The following is an 18276-nucleotide window of genomic DNA, read 5'->3' as shown; positions in this document are numbered from 1 at the left end:
CCCAGTGGGCCTATTGTAATAACAATACTTAAAGGTGGAAGAGGGAGGCAGAAGAAAATCAAAGATGTGATGACAGAAGCAGGGTCACAGGGCTGCTATGCTGCTGGCTTTGAAGATGGAGAAAGAGGCCAAGAGCCAAGGAATGCAGGTGGCCTCTACAAGATTGAAAAGGTTCCAGAAAGGAACACAGACCTGCTGACATTTTGATTTTAGACCACTAGACCCATTTTAGACTTCTGACCCATAGAAATGTAATATACTTGTGTTGTCTTAAACCACTAAGTTTGTGGCTATTTGTTATGGCAGCAATAGAAAACGAATAGAAGTCTATTCAAATATTCATCATTTTTCCAAATCCCAAATCAGCCATTCACACCCATACCCTCAGCACATCCATCAACTTCAGAGAGAAAGTATAGTTATGGGCCAGATATTTATTTCAATTTTCTCTAATTAAAACATTTACCTCGGCCAGATGTGGTGGCTCACACCTATAATCCCAGCACTTTGGGAGTCCAAGGCAGGCAGATCCCTTCGAGGCCAGGAGTTCAAGACCAGCTGAGGCAACATGGTGAGACCCCATCTCTACTAAAAATACAAAAGTTAGCCAGGCATGGTGATGCATGCCTGTAATCCCAGCTACTTGGGAGGCTGAGGCAGGAGAATTGCTTGAACCCAGGAGGTGGAGGTTGTGGCGAGCTGAGATTGTGCCACTGCACTCCAGCCTGGGCAACAGAGTGAGACTCTGTCTCAAAAACAAACAACAACAACAACAAAAAATCCATTTACCTCCATGAGGATACATCCAACTTCCTTCCCTTTTGTTACAATTTTTTAAAAAGTTTCTGTATTAGTCTGTTCTCATGCTGCTAATAAAGACATACCCGAGACTGGGTAATTTATAAAGGAAAGAGGTTAATTGACTCACAGTTCAGCCTGGCTAGGGAGGCCTCAGGAAACTTACAATCATGGCAGAAGGGGAAGCAAACACATCCTTCTTCACATGGCGGCAGGAAGGAGAAGTGCCGAGCAAAAGGGGAAAAGCCCCTTATGAAACCATCAGAGCGCGTGAGAACTCACTATCAGAACAGCAGCATAGGAATAATTACCCCTGTGATTCGATTACCTCCCACCAGGTCCCTCCCGCAACACGTGGGGATTATGGGAAGTACAATTCAAGATGGGCTGGGAGCCGTAGCTCACGCCTGTAATCCTAGTACTTTGGGAGGCCGAGGTGGTGGATCACCTGAGGTCAAGAGTTCGAGACCAGCCTGGCCAACATGGCAAAACCCTGTCTCTACTAAAAATACAAAAATTACCAGGCATGGTGGCAAGTGCTTGTAATCCCAGCTACTCAGGAGGCTGAGGCAGTAGAATCGCTTGAACCCGCAAGGCAGAGGTTGCAGTGAGCTGAGATCACACCATTGCACTCTAGCCTGGGTGACAGAGCAAGACTCCGTCTCAAAAAAAAAAAAGGTGAGATTTGGGTAGGGACACAGCAAAACCATATCAATTTCCTTTTTAAAAAAAATATATAAAGGCAATTTTATAACTTATTTGATGTATTTGATGCTCAGTGGTTAGTTCTCATCCACATTGACTATCTGCAGATTTTTGAAAATGGTAACAAGTATATAGGTAACCAGGAATGTAACAAAATATAGAGCTTGTTTGGTGATTCTTTACCCTCATTACATTTTCTGAACAACTGCACACAGATGCGGTATGGAACATTCCTTATTCCTTTGGCCCAGACAGCTTTGTTGAACCTGGTATTAACACACACATCTGGAGTTCCCATCTCCTTCATGGCAAATTTCCGGATCTCTCTGAGTGCCCCAGGGACACACTTCTTGAAGCCCACTCTATGAATGCGCTTGTGAATGCTGATGGCTTATTCTTGGGTCACTACCTCGTTTATGGCAGAATAGCCCTTCTTCTTCTCGCCGCTTTTCTTTGCAGGAGCCATTCTGCCTGGCCCAATTTGGAAAAGAAGAGCGTGAGGGATTCTTAAGTTTCCTTTTCTTTTCTAATTCTAATTCCTCTGGATCCCATTTCATTATGCTTCCTAAGGGACCTGACACTACCAATAACCCTTTCTTTCTTTATGGCTTGTCCTCTTGGCATGCACACATGTTCTAGTCTGTCTAATTCAAACCAAATGAATATTTTCTCTGAACCCTAAGATAGCCTCTAGCTATATTCCTTTCTCTCACCTTCCTTTTATACTGAAATCTTTAGGAAGAGTTTTAAACTGTTTCCATTATTTTATTTACAATAACTGTTTGCACCATTATAGACTGAACTTTCTCTTGCCATATTAGTCAAAGGCCCTGATAGCTGTGAGCTGGGCTGTGGGGGAATACTGTGCACATAGCCTCTCTTCCACTGTTATTTTCTTAACTTGGAGTGGTAATGAAAATAGATATACTCGGACTGAATACATCTGTTATATATGTAACCCAAATGTCCCCAGGCCCATGGTGAATCCTGTCTGAAACCTGACCTTGCCAGGGAAAATTGACAATTCTGGAGTTCACCTTTGGAGTAAGCACTAAGAAATGTAGCATACTGGGGCCTTACCAGCTCTTTGCAACTGGTGCACAGGCATTCAGCAGGAGTCTCAATATGGGGCCTTATAAATACTGGGCAGTGACTCTTGCCTGGTAAAATAAAAGAAAGGTCCTGTGGTGGAGGGCAGAGGGCAATGGCTTGGAAGGCTGTGAGTCACTTAACCTTTAACCTTGTGCAAATCAGTCTCCTTTGCACTGGTGACTTATCTGTAAAATGAGGAAAGTCATCTAACATCTGACCTAATGAGGAAGGTCCTTTTTCTCTAAAATTCTATGGCTAGCTCCAAAAACAATGCTAACTTACAAGTTAAAATGACTCATTTCTATACAGTGCAATACATTTATAAAATGCTGGCTTTAATCTGAACTTATCAAATAGAATTTGATAAAATATTAGGATGAGGTTAGGAACTAATAAAACTTTATTTTGAATTTTTATTTGATTTACCACTGCCTCCCAATGTAACTTTAGTTAGCAAATAAACCGACCTATAAATATGAAACATCACAATCTAAAATATTTTTAAAATTAGACTAAAATTAAGGAAACTTTTTTTTAGTTTTAGTCCTATTTCAAGTGAGGACTCTATTGTCATGTGTCTTTATATGTATATTTTATCAGTTTATTTTACTTTTAAAATCCATTTTTCATTATAAAATTTATAATTTTCTAAATTTGTTACATAAAATTTAGAAAATTACACTAAAATACAAGATAAAAGACATTCCATGTTACTACCCAGAACAAATGAACACTTTCCTGCTATTTTCTTTCTTTCTCTTTTTCTTTAGAGTGGGGTCTCACTCTGATCATGGCTCGCTGCAGCCTTGAACCCCGGGGCTCAAGCAATCCTTCCACCTCAGCCCCCCAAATAGCTAGGTCCACAGGCATGTGCCATCACATCCAGCTAATTTTTAAAAAATTGTTTGTACAAATTTACAAGAAAAAAACAAACAACCCCATCAAAAAGTGGGCGAAGGACATGAACAGACACTTCTCAAAAGAAGACATTTATGCAGCCAAAAAACACATGAAGAAATGCTCATCATCACTGGCCATCAGAGAAATGCAAATCAAAACCACTATGAGATATCATCTCACACCAGTTAGAATGGCAATCATTAAAAAGTCAGGAAACAACAGGTGCTGGAGAGGATGTGGAGAAATAGGAACACTTTTACACTGTTGGTGGGACTGTAAACTAGTTCAACCATTGTGGAAGTCGGTGTGGCGATTCCTCAGGGATCTAGAACTAGAAATACCATTTGACCCAGCCATCCCATTACTGGGTATATACCCAAAGGACTATAAATCATGCTGCTATAAAGACACATGCACACGTATGTTTATTGCGGCACTATTCACAATAGCAAAGACTTGGAACCAACCCAAATGTCCAACAATGATAGACTGGATTAAGAAAATGTGGCACATATACACCATGGAATACTATGCAGCCATAAAAAATGATGAGTTCATGTCCTTTGTAGGGACATGGATGAAATTGGAAACCATCATTCTCAGTAAACTATCGCAAGAACAAAAAACCAAACACCGCATATTCTCACTCATAGGTGGGAATTGAACAATGAGATCACTTGGACACAGGAAGGGGAATATCACACTCTGGGGACTGTGGTGGGGTCGGGGGAGGGGGGAGGGATAGCATTGGGAGATATACCTAATGCTAGATGACACGTTAGTGGGTGCAGCGCACCAGCATGGCACATGTATACATATGTAACTAACCTGCACAATGTGCACATGTACCCTAAAACTTAGAGTATAATAAAAAAAAAAAAAATTAAAAAAAAAAATTGTTTGTAGAGACAGGGGCTCCCTGTGTTGCCTAGGCTTGTCTCGAATTCTTGGGCTCAAGCAATCCTCTGGCCTCCTCCCAAAGTGCTGGGATTACAGGTGTAAGCCACCACACCCAGTGTAATTTAAAATATTTTTTTTTTGTAGAGATAGGGTCTCAGTATGTTGCCCAGGCTGGTCTTGAACTCCTGGGCTCAAGCAATTCTTTGGCCTCTGCCTCCCAAAGTGTTGGGATTACAGGAGTGAGCTGTCACTCCTTGCCCAGCAATTTTCTATGTATAGGTTTTTTTTTTTTTTTTTTTTTTTTGAGATGGAGTCTCACGTTGTCACCCAGGCTAGAGTGCAGTGACATGATCTTGGCTCACTGCAGCCTCTGCCTCCCTGGCTCCAGCAATTCTCCTGCCTCAGCCTCCTGGGTAGCTGGGATTACAGGCATGAGCCACCATGCCCGGCTAATTTTTGTATTTTTAGTAGAGAAGGGTTTCACCATGTTGGCCAGGCTGCTCTTGAAGTCCTGATATCAGGTGATCCACCTGCCTCGGCCTCCCAAAGTACTAGGATTACAGGCGTGAGCCACCGTGCCTGGCCTCTATGTATAGGGTTTTGATTTGTTTTTACTTTGCATAATTACAGAATGCTATATTCAACTAAGTATCCATTTTTAAAAATGTGCTTCATATCAGTTTCGTGTGTGTTTTCTCCATTTTTGTTCAGTCTCCTCCTGTAGTGCCTTCAGATCTTGCTGGAAATGTTTTCATTTTTTCTGGTATCATAAAATTTTATTCTTTTCACTTATCTGGGTGAGCTAAAAAGAAAATTAAAATAAAATTTATTTTTCGGAGATTTTTCAGTTTTTGCAAACAGTCGTTAACGGCCAGGTCTGAAAACTTTATCTTAATTTTTTTTTTTTTCTTGAGACAGAGTCTCACTCTGTGGCCCAGGCTGGAGTGCAGTGGTGGGATCTCGGGTCATTTGCAACCTCTGCCTCCTGTGTTCAAGCGCTTCTTGTTCCTTAGCCTCGCGAGTAGCTGGGATTACAGCCTCGCCACCACACCCAGCTAACTTTTGTATTTTTAGTAGAGGCAGGGTTTCACCATGTTGGCCAGGCTGGTCTCGAACTCCTGGCCTCAAGTGATCTGCCTGCGTCAGCCTCCCAAAGTGCTGGGATTACAGGCATGAGCCACCGTGCTGGCCTTAATTTTGTCTTAAAATGAAGTATGACTAACATGTATTTCTATATGGGCCTTTAAGGGTCTTGAAACTGACAGAAATTAATTCAAAAGAATAATTTTACCCAAATGTTTGGGCGCATCATGAATATATACCTTAAAATTCTTTTAAAAAGCATGCGGTATGGTATATTTAAAATTCTTTTTAAAAAATTATGTATAGTCAATTTTCTTATCTAGGCTTCCTAGCTAAAACTTTCCTGCATTGGGTGAACCATTAATAGTTATTCCTAGTGTTGATTTAAACAACTTAAATGATACTATGATTTTTGTTTGTAAATGCAAACCAGAAAATATCTGCATGCAGGTACTAATTTCCTAGGGTAGATGCAGCAGGTAGATGTTGGGATGGCTACACTCACAAAGCCTGATGGCCCGTTTCCTGAACATGCGCAATCACTTTCTAGCCTTTCCACACCATCGGAATATTGCACAGAAGTATGTCAGTCACAGGAGTGTAAAGAATAACATTTAAACTATGGTAATATTTTCATTCAGTAAGTTTCTCCCCTTTCCTTCCTTGGGTTAGATTCAGTGCCTGATTTTTTTAGGCCCTGGGGCGCAAGCATCCACTTTCTCAGAATCCCATTCACCAGAAACCACCCATTTAACTTGCTCTGGGTGCGAGCAGCGCTTGTGACTGGGCAACCTGTGCGTCAGCGTCCCCGGTGCTTCGGCGCTCCGGCCAGTGACGGCGACCAAACCCAGCTAGGTCAGACGAGGTACTGATCAGCCCAATGAGCGCCTGGTGATTCTCGTAGTTAATCACTCTGGTTCATTCCGTTCGATCCCGGAGGCGGGAGTGTTTGGCTTGTCCCTGCGTGTCACGGCAGGGTGACCCTAGCCCCGAGGGAGGGCGGTGGTACCAGTCCTGCTGGCGGCTCAGCGCGGCAGGACACGTGTGCGCTTTCAGCCGGGTCGCAGGGCGCTTATCGCGGCCCGGCAGTCGGGGCCACGCCTCACCCCCGCCCGCGAACCCCGACCTGGGGAAACCCGGGGCGCTGGGGAGGGGCCACTGCGTTCAGCTCTGGCGGTCCACAGCCCGAAGCGCGGCTTAGGAAGTTCGTGTCAGCGCTGCCTGAGCTCGTCCCCTGGATGTCCGGGTCTCCCCAGGCGGCCACCCGCCGGCTCCCATCGTGACCTCCAGCCGCAGCGCCTCCCACGCCGGCCGCCGCGCGAGGGGAGCGCTCGGGCGCGCCGGGTGTGGTTGGGGGAAGGGGTTGTGCCGCGCGCGGGCTGCGTGCTGTGCCCACTCAAAAGGTTCCGGGCGCGCAGGAGGGAAGAGGCAGTGCCCGCCACTCCCACTGAGATTGAGAGACGCGGCAAGGAGGCAGCCTGTGGAGGAACTGGGTAGGATTTAGGAACGCACCGTGCACATGCTTGGTGGTCTTGTTAAGTGGAAACTGCTGCTTTAGAGTTTGTTTGGAAGGTCCGGGTGACTCATCCCAACATTTACATCCTTAATTGTTAAAGCGCTGCCTCCGAGCGCACGCATCCTGAGATCCTGAGCCTTTGGTTAAGACCGAGCTCTATTAAGCTGAGTGAGTAAATTGTAAAACCAGTTTCGCTGAGAGTGTGTGTCTGGAAAGGTTGGTGGGCGTTGTGTATATATTTGTTAGAAAATCGGTAACCGTTCAAACGAGACGACTGAGTTTTTTAGCCTTTCGCAGTTTCATTTGAAAGTGGGTATGCAGTTTAAAACTGACAGTTCAAAGTGGTTTTTCAGAAAATGATGCCCTGGTGCAAACTGATTCTGGGTCCCATAGTGTGTTAAGTGTGGGTTGGTAAAAACTCTTGGCCTTTCTCCAAATGTATGAAATTAAAGTTGATATTGGAAGGATAAAAACCCACTGAGCACAGAAGTTACTATAGGTGGAGGAAACATTTGTTGATGTTAATATTTTAAAGGGGTTGACCAATATAGGAATTGGTCAATGACAATTGGGAATAGGTAAATGACAAATTATTGGTCAATCCCTTTAAAGCTTTGGATGGTTTGCTAAAGAATTATTGAACTCCCTTTTGTAATTTTCTGTGGATAGTTGAGTGCTCTTACTCCCTTCTCAGTCCTAGAGATATCCCCTAAAGCTTGGTTTTTAGGAGGATCTTACAGCTCTCTTATCATTTGAATGTCAGCTAGTCATAAATAAATACACCAGAGTAGTAAGGAAGAGATGTTTTTTATTGATATTCTTTACAAAACAGTGCTTTCAGAGTACAGCTTTGACTGGATTGTATAGATCTTGATGAGATCTTGATGAGAAAGGTTTCAACGACAAAGATGGCATGTTAAGTCTAACATTACCCTTCCATTATAAACATTGAAAGATGTTGGTTATTTTATTATTTATTTTATAATAACTTTTAATTGTGAAATAATTTGAGAGTTACTGAAAATTTGCAAAAAATAGTACAGAGAGTTCCCATAATATCATGCATAACAAGGGCCAAAACTAATAACATGGGCATGCTACTATAATACAATGAACTAAACTACAGACTTTATTTGGATTTCACTTGTCTTTCCACTGTCCTTTTTCTGCCCAGGATCCAATCGATGATCTCACTTTGCATTTAACTGCTAAATATCCTTAATTTTCTCTGATCTGTGACAGTTCCTCAGCCTTTCATTGTTTTTTCATGGACCTTGACACTAGTGAAGAAGACCCGGTCAGTTAATTTGTAGAATGCCCCTCAATTTGTGTTTGCTTGATGTTTAGTGTCATGATTAGATGAATGTTCTGCATTTTGGGGAAAAATGTCACAGAAGTAAAGTTTCCATCTCAGTATGTCATATTGGGTACATGATGTCAATACTTTTTTTTGAGACTGAGTCTTGCTTTATTGCCCAGACTGGAGTGCAGTGGCACGATCTCAGCTCATTGCAACCTTTGCCTCCCAGGTTCTAGCGATTCTCCTGCCTCAGCCTCCTGAGTAGCTGGGATTATAGGCGCCTGCCACCATGCCCAGATAATTTTTTGTATTTTTAGTAGAGACAGGTTTCATGTTGGCCAGGCTGGTCTCGAACTCCTGACCTCTAGTGATCCTCCTGCCTTGGCCTCCCAAAGTGCTGGGATTACAGGCGTGAGCCACTGTGCCCTAGCCGATACTTCTTATTACCTATGATGTTAATCTGTTTGCCAGATTCCCTTTGTATTTGAGATCTTGGGAGAGAAACCTGCACTGCCATTTTTCCTTAAACTTTTATTCATTAATTTAAGCATCCATTTGTGGAACATGTTGTTTAGCGGGTTTTTTTTCCTAATGGTTAAACAAAACCCCTATTTTCTTCCTTCTACATTTTTTAATTAAAATTCCCTTCTGTAGGGAAGAGTTGACCCTTCTCTCCTGTTCATTGATTCAGTTATTTGTATCAGTATGGGCTCATGGATATTTGTTTTGTTATATGGGTTATAATCCAATATTATCAGTATTTAATTTGCTGCTCAAATTGTTCTGGCTTTCACCACTGGGACCTTTTTCAGGTTGGCGCCTGTGCCACTTTGACATACACTTGCTTTTTCTTTTTCCTTCTTTTTTTTTTTTTTTTTTTTTTGAGACGGAGTCTTTGTCGCCCAGGCTGGAGTGCAGTGGCACGATCTCGGCTCACTGCACCCTCCGCCTCCCAGGCTCAAGCGATTCTTGTGCCTCAGCCTACCAAGTAGCTGGGATTACAGGTACGTAGCACCACACTTGGCTACTTTTTGTATTTTTTAGTAGAGACGGGGTTTTCCATGTTGGCCAGGCTGGTCTCAAACTCCTGGCCTCAAGTGATCTGCCCGCCTCGGCCTCCCAAAGTGCTGGGATTACAGGTGTGAGCTATCATGCCCGGACTCTTTTTCTTTTTTAATGCATTTCTTGATTTCTGGCATCAGAGAATGCTCAGGCTTATTTTGTATTTTCCATGTCCCAACCTTGGAATGATCCATTTCTCCAAGGCACTGTGATTATTTTGCTTTAGAATGGTATTAGAAGCTAATATCTGGACACTGGATGTTCTATTAGAGTTACTTCTTTTTTTTTTTGAGATGGAGTCTTGCTCCAGGCCAGAGTGCAATGGTGGGATCTCAGCTGACTGCAACCTCCTCCGCTTCCTGGGTTCAAGCAATTCTCCTGCCTCAGCCTCCTGAGTAGCAGGGATTACAGGCATGTGCCACCACGCCCAGCTAATTTTTAATGTTTTTAGTAAAGACGAGGTTTTGCCATGTTGGCCAGGCTGGTCTCGAACTCCTGACTTTGGGTGATCCACCCGCCTCGGCCTCCCCAAGTGCTGGGAATACAGGCATGAGCCACCGTGCCCGGCCTAGAGTTACTTTTGAACTTTTTATGTATAATAAAAAGTTTGTGACTTAGCAAATGCTAAGTCTGAAAAGATTGGTGTCAGGCCTCTGAGCCCAAGCTAAGCCATCATATCCTCTGTGACCTACACTTACACATCCAGATGGCTGGTTCCTGCCTTAACTGATGACATTACCTTGTGAAATTCCTCCTTCTGGCTCATCCTGGCTCTGTACTGCCTCAAGGCTTCACAGACAGCCCCCATTACTTCAGTCAAACCCAAATTTCTTCCTCATCTGTTACCTATCTTGTCATAATTCTTCATAAAAACACACGTGCTCTCCCTGCCAATCGTGTCTGACTGATCTCTCAAACCCCAACACCTTCTACAAAACAACTCCTTTCCTTCCTAGGCATGGTTGGATACTTTCGACTTTGGATACCTGGTTTCGCCATCCTAACAAAGCCATTATATAAACTCACAAAAGGAAACCTAGCTGACCCCATAGATCCTAAATCCTTTCCCCACTCCTCTTTCCATTCCTTCAAGACAGCTTTAGAGACTGCCCCCCACCCTAGCTCTCCCTGACTCATCCCAACCCTTTTCATTACACACAGCCGAAGTGCAGGGCTGTGCAGTCAGAATTCTTACACAAGGACCAGGATCGCGTCCTGTAGCCTTTTTGTCCAAACAACTTGACCTTACTGTTTTAGCCTAGCCATCATGTCTCCGTGCAGTGGCTGCCGCCGCCCTAATACTTTTAGAGGCCCTCAAAATCACAAACTATGCTCAACTCACTCTCTACAGCTCTCATAACTTCCAAAATCTATTTTCTTCCTCACACCTGACACATATACTTTCTGCTCCCCGGCTCCTCCAGCTATACTCACTCTTTGTTGCGTCTCCCACAATTACCATTGTTCCTGGCCCAGACTTCAATCCGGCCTCCCACATTATTCCTGATACCACACCTGACCCCCATGACTATCTCTCTGATCCACCGGGCATTCACCCCATTTCCGCATATTTCCTTCTTTCCTGTTCCTCACCCTGAACACTTGGTTTACTGATGGCAGTTCCACCAGTCCTAATTGCCACTCACCAGCAAAGGCAGGCTATGCTATAGTATCTTCCACATCTATCATTGAGGCTACCACTCTGCCCCCCTCCACTACCGCTCAGCAAGCCGAACTCATTGCCTGAAGTCAAGCCCTTGCTCTTGCAAAGGGACTACACATCAATATTTATACTGACTCTAAATATGCCTTCCATATCCTGCACCACTATGCAAGAGGTTTCCTCACTACACAAGGGTCCTCTATCATTAATGCTTCTTTAATAAAAACGCTTCTCAAAGCCGCTTTACTTCCAAAGGAAGCTGGAGTCATTCACTGCAAGGGCCATCAAAAAGGTATCATATCCCATCGCTCAGGACAATGCTTATGCTGATAAGTTAGCTAAAAAAGCAACTAGTGTTCCAACTTCTGTCCCTCAGGGTCAGTTTTTCTTCTTCGCATTGGTCACTCCCACCTACTCCCCCACTGAAACTTCCACCTATCAATCTCTTCCCACACAAAGCAAATGGTTCTTAGACCAAGGAAAATATCTCCTTCCAGCCTCACAGGCCCATTCTATTCTGTCATCATTTCATAACCTCTTCCATGTAGGTTACAAGCCGCTAGCCTGCCTCTTAGAACATTTCCTTTCCATCGTGGAAATCTGTCCTCAAGGAAATCACTTCTCAGTGTTCCATCTGCTATTCTACTACTCCTCAGGAATTTCTCATGCCCCCTCCCTTCCCTACACATCAAGCTCGGGGTTTTGCTCCTGCCCAGGACTGGCAAATTAGCTTTACTCACATGCCCCGAGTCAGGAAACTAAAATACTTCTTGGTCTGGGTAGACACTTTCACTGGATAGGTAGAGGCCTTTCCCACAGGGTCTGAGAAGGCCACGACGGTCATATCTTCCCTTCTGTCAGACATAATTCCTTGGTTTGGCCTTCCCACCTCTATACGGTTCAATAGAGGACCGGCCTTTATTAGTCAAATCAGCCAAGCAGTTTTTCGGGCTCTTGGTATTCAGTGAAACATTTATATCCCTTACCATCCTCAATCTTCAGGAAAGGTAGAACGGACTACTGGTCTTTTAAAAACACACCTCACCAAGCTCAGCCACCAACTTAAAAAGGACTGGATAATACTTTTACCACTTGCCCTTCTCAGAATTCGGGCCTGTCTTCGGAATGCGACAAAATACAGCCCATTTGAGCTCCTGTATAGATGCTCCTTTTTATTAGGCCCCAGTCTCATTCCAGACACCAGACCAACTTGGACTGCGCCCCCAAAAACTTGTCATCCCTACTATCTTCTGTCTAGTCATACTCCTATTCACCATTCTCAACTACTCATACATGCCCGCTCTTGTTTACACTGCCGGTTTACACTGTTTCTCCAAGCCACCACAGCTGATATCTCCTGGTGCTATCCCCAAACCGCCACTCTCAACTCTTAAAGTAAATAAATCATCTTTGCTGGCAGGGCTATGCTGAACCTCCTTAGGCACTCTCTAATTGGATGTCCTGGGTCCTCCCAATTCTTAGTCCTTTAATACCTGTTTTTCTCCTTGTCTTATTCCGTTCTTTTTTCAATTCATACAAAATTGTATCCAGGCCATCACCAATACTTATATAGGACAATTGTTTCTTCTAACAACCCCACAATATCACCCCTTACCACAAAATCTTCCTTCAGCTTAATCTCTCCCACTTTAGGTTCCCACGCCGCCCCTAATCCCACTTGAAGCAGCCCTGAGAAACATCACCCATTCTCTCTCCATACCACCCCCCAAAAATTTTCACCACCCCAACACTTTACCACTATTTTGTTTTATTTTTCTTATTAATATAAGAAGACAGGAATGTCAGGCCTCTGAGCCCAAGCTAAGCCATCATATCCCCTGTGACCTGCACATATACATCCAGATGGTTGGTTCCTGCCTTAACTGATGACATTCCACCACAAAAGAACTGAAAATGGCCTGTTCCTGCCTTAACTGATGACATTACCTTGTGAAATTCCTTCTCCTGGCTCATTCTGGCTCAAAAGCTCCCCCGCTGAGCACCCTGTGACGCCCCACCCCTGCCCACCAGAGAACAAACCCCCTTTACCCTTTACCTACCCAAATCTTATGAAATGGCCCCATCCCTATCTCCCTTTGCTGACTTTCTTTTCGGACTCAGCCCGCCTGCATCCAGGTGATTAAAAAGCTTTATTGCTCACACGAAGCCTGTTTGGTGGTCTCTTCACACGGACGCGAGTGAAAATTCATATTGCCTTAAAGTTTAAACATTATAGAGGACCTGACTGTATTTGCCAACTTGGATTCAGTCTCTTATGGGAAAGAAGTAAAATTGGTAGTATTTAGTAATTTTTTAAAGCTCCCATTTTTTTCTCAAATGAAACCCTGCCAGTGCTTCCAAAACAAATAATGCATATGTGAGCTTCTATCTATTAGGCTCTGGTAAGAAACCAGGATCATTTTATTAGCTGAGTAGCTTAAACTACATCCTAATATTATAATTTTGGTATCTGTTGATTGAATTCACAGTGAGAAAAGGATTTGAGACCCATATTTATGTTAGTCATACTAGCAATGAAGAAGTACTGTGTTTATGATGAGACATTATTTGGTCTGAGATGGTAACTGTACCCGTGGATTAGAGAGAGGATCCCTTGCAATAATTAATGAGCCCTTCTATGATTTTGGAGTACACACACATTACATGCTCCTTCTTTTATATCTTTGTATACTGGATCATGATGTTTTTTATTGTAGGTCTCAGAATTTTGAGAAGTAATGCCGCTGCTCACATTTAATTTTCTGTTAATAATTCTTTTTTTTTTTTTTTGAGATGGAGTCTCACTCTGTCGCCCAGGCTGGAGTGCAGTGGCGCCATCTCGGCTCACTGCAAGCTCCACCTCCCGGGTTCACGCCATTCTCCTGCCTCAGCCTCCCCAGCAGCTGGGACTACCGGCGCCCCTCCACCACGCCCAGCTACTTTTTTGTATTTTTAGTAGAGATGGGGTTTCACCGTGTTAGCCAGGATGGTCTTGATCTCCTGACCTCGTGATCCACCTGCCTCGGCCTCCCAAAGTGCTGGGATTACAGGCATGAGCCACTGCACCCAGCCTCTGTTCATAATTTTTACTGCAATTCCGATGATTGAATTATAAACTGGAAGGGAGCAGGGATATTGATCTTCATGTAGTTGACATGTACTAGACTCACGGAGAACAAGGACTGGGTTGTAGGCACAATGCTGTGTGGTTTTGGGTAAATCTAACTCACACTCAACTTGATTTTGTTTCCCCCTGGGGACTTAGGATCCCAAAATGTTCTAATGACCCACCTCACTGCTGCTAATCTTCCCACAGTGCCAATTTGGTGGAGTCAACCTTGCAAAGGGAGAAGAGAAAGGGTGATGACTTTCCCAGAGCTTCTGCCGCTGTCCTCCCTATGTCTTCTAGCCCCAGTCACTACTCCTTTTATTTAAATTCATAGGGGCTTCTCAGTCAGTCCCCTCTTAAATGTAAATGAGTTATTCACTTCCTGTGGGCCTGAAGCTGAACCACTGTCATTTATTTTTGACCTTGTTTTCCCAGTTTGGGCAGTGTAAGAGGAGGTCAGGAAATGGAATTGTTTGGGGCAGGCGATTTTGCAGAACATGCACAGATAATAGGTTTCAGGGAGCTCTCATAGGCTATGGAGGGAGGGGTGCAGGACAGTGTCCTCATCTTGGCTCTTGATATTATTATGGTGGACTCTTATGTGGTCTCCCTGCATTGTCCCTACCCATGACCAAAGTCAGAGTGATCCTTTAAACCAAGCTTGTCCAACGTGCATGTGGCCCAAGATGGCTTTGAATGAAGCCCAACACAAATTAGTAAACTTTCTTAAAACATTATGTGATTTTTGTTTTTAATTTAGCTCATCAGCTGTTGTTAATGTTAGTGTGTTTTATATGTGGCCCAAGACAATTCTTCTTCCAGTGTGGCCCAGGGAAGCCAAAAGATTGGACACTCCTGCTTTAAATATAGATATCATTTCTTCACTCAGAACTTTCCTGTGCCTTCCAGTGCCATTCAGATCAAAGCCAAAGTCCTTCCTGTGGTCAGTGGTAGATACAACCCGAGTTCCTGCTCTCTTATCCTCCCTCACTCTGCTTCAGCCTCACTGGCCTCTTTGCTGTTCCTTCGACCAGCACTTGGACATATACTGCTCCTCCAGAAGGCCACCCTCAGAGCTCTGCTTGAGGGCCTCACTGGAAAGGCCTTCCGTGACCACCTCTGTTGCCCAGGTTGGAGTGCATTGGTGTGACCTTGGCTCACTGCAATCTCTGCCTCCCGGGTTCAAGCAATTCTTGTGCCTCAGTCTCCCAAGTAGCAGGAATTACAGGTATGCGCCACCACACCCGGATAATTTTTGTATGTTTAATAGAGATAAGGATTTCACCATATTGTCCAGGCTGGTCTCCAAATTCCGGGCCTCAAGCAATCCACCCACCTCGGCCTCCCAAAGTGCTGGGATTACAGGCGTGAGCCACCATTTCTGGCCCACCCTTCCTCTTTTGCTTTAATTTTTTTTCTCCGTAGCACTGTTGACTGATATTTTTCATATGTAACCTCACTGAGGGCCGGGATGTTTATCTGTTGTTTTGTTTTGTTCACTCCTGTAAGTCCAGTGCCTGCCAGATAATAGAAGTCTAGTAAATATCGAATTATTATTATTATTTTTTGAGACAGAGTTTCGCTCTTGTTGCCCAGAATGGAGTGCAATGGTGCGAGCTCAGCTCACCGCAACCTCTGCCTCCCAGGTTCAAGCAGTTCTCCTGCCTCAGCCTCCCGAGTGGCTGGGGTTACAGGCATGCGCTACCATGCCCAACTAATTTTGTATTTTTAGTAGAGACAGGGTTTCTCCATGTTGGTCAGGCTGGTCTCGAACTCCCGACCTCATGTGATCCGCCTGCCTCGGCCTCCCAAAGTGCTGGCATTACAGGCATGAACCACCATGCCCGGCCGAATTAATTTTATAGGTGAGAAACAGGCTTGGAGAGGCTAAGCAGTTTCTCCAGGGTTCTGTGGCTAGGAAGTTTAAGGGGAGAAGGAGCTGAAACCCCACACATTCTGTGATGGATTGGATAGCATTTTATGGGCAGCCTTAGGATTTGAACATCTCCGTTCCCTCTGGGAAACTGCTGGCCAAATTGCAGATTAGATTAAGAAAATTTGGGATGTAACACGCATGTAAATTGCACTTGGTCTAATTTCATTTATGATTTGACGATTTTCTAGACTGAAGTTTTGGCTTTCTAATCACAGATTAAAACCAATTTGGACAGAATTCTTTTATTTATTTATTTATTTTTATATTTTAGAGAAAGGATCTTGCTCTCACCCAGACGGGAGTATAGTGGCGTGATCTTGACTCACTGCAGCCTGGAACTCCCTGGGCTCAAGGGATCCCCCTTCCTCAGCCTCACAAGTAGCTAGGTCTACAGGCATGTGCCACCACACCCGGCTAATTTTTCAATTTTATTTTTTGTACAGACGAGCAGAATTCCTGCAGATTTTTGTGGGAATGTAAATGAAAAAACAGTAGCCTTGTAGGGTCTTATGTTCATTTGTTTCTATTCAAAGAGAGGATTTAGATTAAGCTGAAAAATTAAGGGGACAGAAAACTGATTAGTGGTTGTCAGGGGCTCTGGTAAGGAGAGGGGATTTCTTTGGGTTAACATGAATGATCTGTCTTGATTGTAGTGGTTACAGGACTGTGTACACTTTACAATGTCAGAAAACTGTGCTCTTAAAAAGGATGAATTTTACTGTTTACAATACTGTTTCCTGTTGACGGGTTTCCAATAAACATGATTAAAAAAACCAAAGATTAGGCAGAACCGTGTGTACAGTTGGCATAGGATCCCTTCCAAAACAGTTTTTCCTTAGTAATAAGTATTAATTTCTGTAAGTTATTAATTTCCTATAGATACCTTGCTGGCTTTACTGAAAATCTTGTAGGATCAGGATATATAGGAGTGAGGAGAGGGTAGAGCTGGGACCTTGCAGTCAGGGACCCTCCAGAATTCCAGGGTCAAGTCTTAGCTCCTGATCAGGCACGCTGCACCCTTTTGATGGTCTTTGCTTACCTTTTTAGCCTCATTTTGTTACTGCCCCCCTCTGAAAACTAAACTCCAGCCTCATGAATGGTATACATGACCCAACATATCTCTTTCGATTAAGGATTTTGCATTCCTTTACTAGAACAGCTTTTTCTCTTCTCCTTTCTTCTTTTCCATCTACAGGGGTCCCTTGGGGTACAGTGGTCCCTTTGGGTGCATATACCCAAATCCCTGCATACTCAAGTCCCACAAGCAGCCCTGTGGAACCAGTGTATAGGCAGAGTCAGCCCTCTGTATACATGGGTTTGGCATTCTTCCATCTGCGTATAAGTGGACCATGTACTTCAAACCTGTGCTGTTCAAGATTCAGCTGTACTTGGTCTGTCTTCTCTAGGAACTTGCTTCTAAACCCTCCCACCTCGCAGGTCTTGTGCTCCCTCAGGGATGGAACTGTCTTAATCTCTCAGTTATCAAAGGAATGTGAGGTTGTAGAAATTCAGGTGGGGAAGGACATTCCTGGCTGGAAGTATGTCCTGCATTGAAACAGGATAATTGTAGTTTTTGTGAACTACAGCTGTGTTAATCATACTGCGTTCTTAGATAGGTTTGCTTCGGATTTGTGCTTACCTTTCACAAATTTCATGCTCAGTCTATTCTGTATGTGTGTTTTTGCTCTCTAAATTTTATAGGCAGTTCAGTAATCTTACCAGAATCTAAATTCTGTAGAAGAGTTGTCAAAATCTACTCCTTAACATGGTTAGTGACTTTATCTTGCTAGTGCTAACATCTTTATTAAGCTACCTTGCAACAGAGTGTGACACATTGATTTAATCTTTCACTTAATAGGAATAATTGAGAACAGAGTCTGAAGAACTCTGCAGGAAACAAAAATAGTTCCCTGCTTTTATGATAGCCAGCCTCTGTAGAGAAATTCAGTTTTCAAATCCAAATATGACTTTTAGAAATTGCAGATTTGCAAGGAATTCTAAAGGAAATACTTTCATAAATATCATTTTTCTGTGTACTTAGTGTAGGATAGACACAAGGGCAAAGAGCATGAAGAAGAAGAAAGTTCATGCTCTGTGACCCAAGCTTGCAGAACGTTTTAATGCTGAATTGTTAAAGCTGTTATCTAAATACTGGTATATATTGCTAGAGAGTTTAGGTACGTTTTTTTGAGACAGGGTCTTGTCATGTTGC

General features: G+C 43.6%; 2 protein-coding genes and 1 pseudogene across 16 annotated transcripts in view, besides 2 other annotated features; 2 read left to right on the top strand and 1 right to left on the bottom strand.

Annotated features, from left to right (window-relative positions):
* Positions 1–18276, top strand: part of ABCG2 (ATP binding cassette subfamily G member 2 (JR blood group)) — a 141363-nt gene that overhangs the window by 66079 nt on the left and 57008 nt on the right. For 6 of the 15 annotated variants that reach the window (NM_001441213.1, NM_001441212.1, NM_001441210.1 and 3 more), the window contains exon 1: positions 6909–7162. The exons of 3 other annotated variants lie outside the window; for them this stretch is intronic. The gene's annotated coding sequence lies outside the window, so the exon portion shown is untranslated. Of the gene's footprint in view, positions 1–6257; positions 6344–6638; positions 7163–15162; positions 15357–18276 lie in introns of those variants that run through there. 6 more of the 15 variants (NM_001441211.1, NM_001348986.2, NM_001348988.1 and 3 more) reach the window with 5 other exon arrangements.
* RPL31P24 (ribosomal protein L31 pseudogene 24) lies at positions 1613–2009 on the bottom strand (annotated as a pseudogene).
* Positions 2557–2851: a silencer, noted in NCBI's record as "tiled region #2987; K562 Repressive non-DNase unmatched - State 22:ReprW". NCBI's record gives its function as "represses a minimal TATA promoter and a strong SV40 promoter by Sharpr-MPRA in K562 cells {active_cell/tissue: K562}" and the evidence as "EXISTENCE:reporter gene assay evidence [ECO:0000049][PMID:27701403]".
* Positions 5992–7162, top strand: LOC124900867 (uncharacterized). The gene is made up of 2 exons (XM_047416558.1): positions 5992–6078; positions 6466–7162. Exons 1-2 carry the CDS (start codon positions 5992–5994, stop codon positions 6973–6975), a joined length of 597 nt encoding a protein of 198 aa, XP_047272514.1. The 3' UTR covers positions 6976–7162.
* Positions 6623–6842: a silencer, noted in NCBI's record as "silent region_15561". NCBI's record gives its function as "represses an Ori minimal core promoter by ATAC-STARR-seq in GM12878 lymphoblastoid cells {active_cell/tissue: GM12878}" and the evidence as "EXISTENCE:reporter gene assay evidence [ECO:0000049][PMID:35858748]".

Source organism: Homo sapiens, chromosome 4 (genome assembly GCF_000001405.40).
Source record: "Homo sapiens chromosome 4, GRCh38.p14 Primary Assembly".
In the NCBI taxonomy this organism is placed as follows: Eukaryota; Metazoa; Chordata; class Mammalia; order Primates; family Hominidae; genus Homo; species Homo sapiens.
Note: the sequence above shows the minus strand (reverse complement) of the source record. Positions and strands in the feature narration are given on the sequence as shown.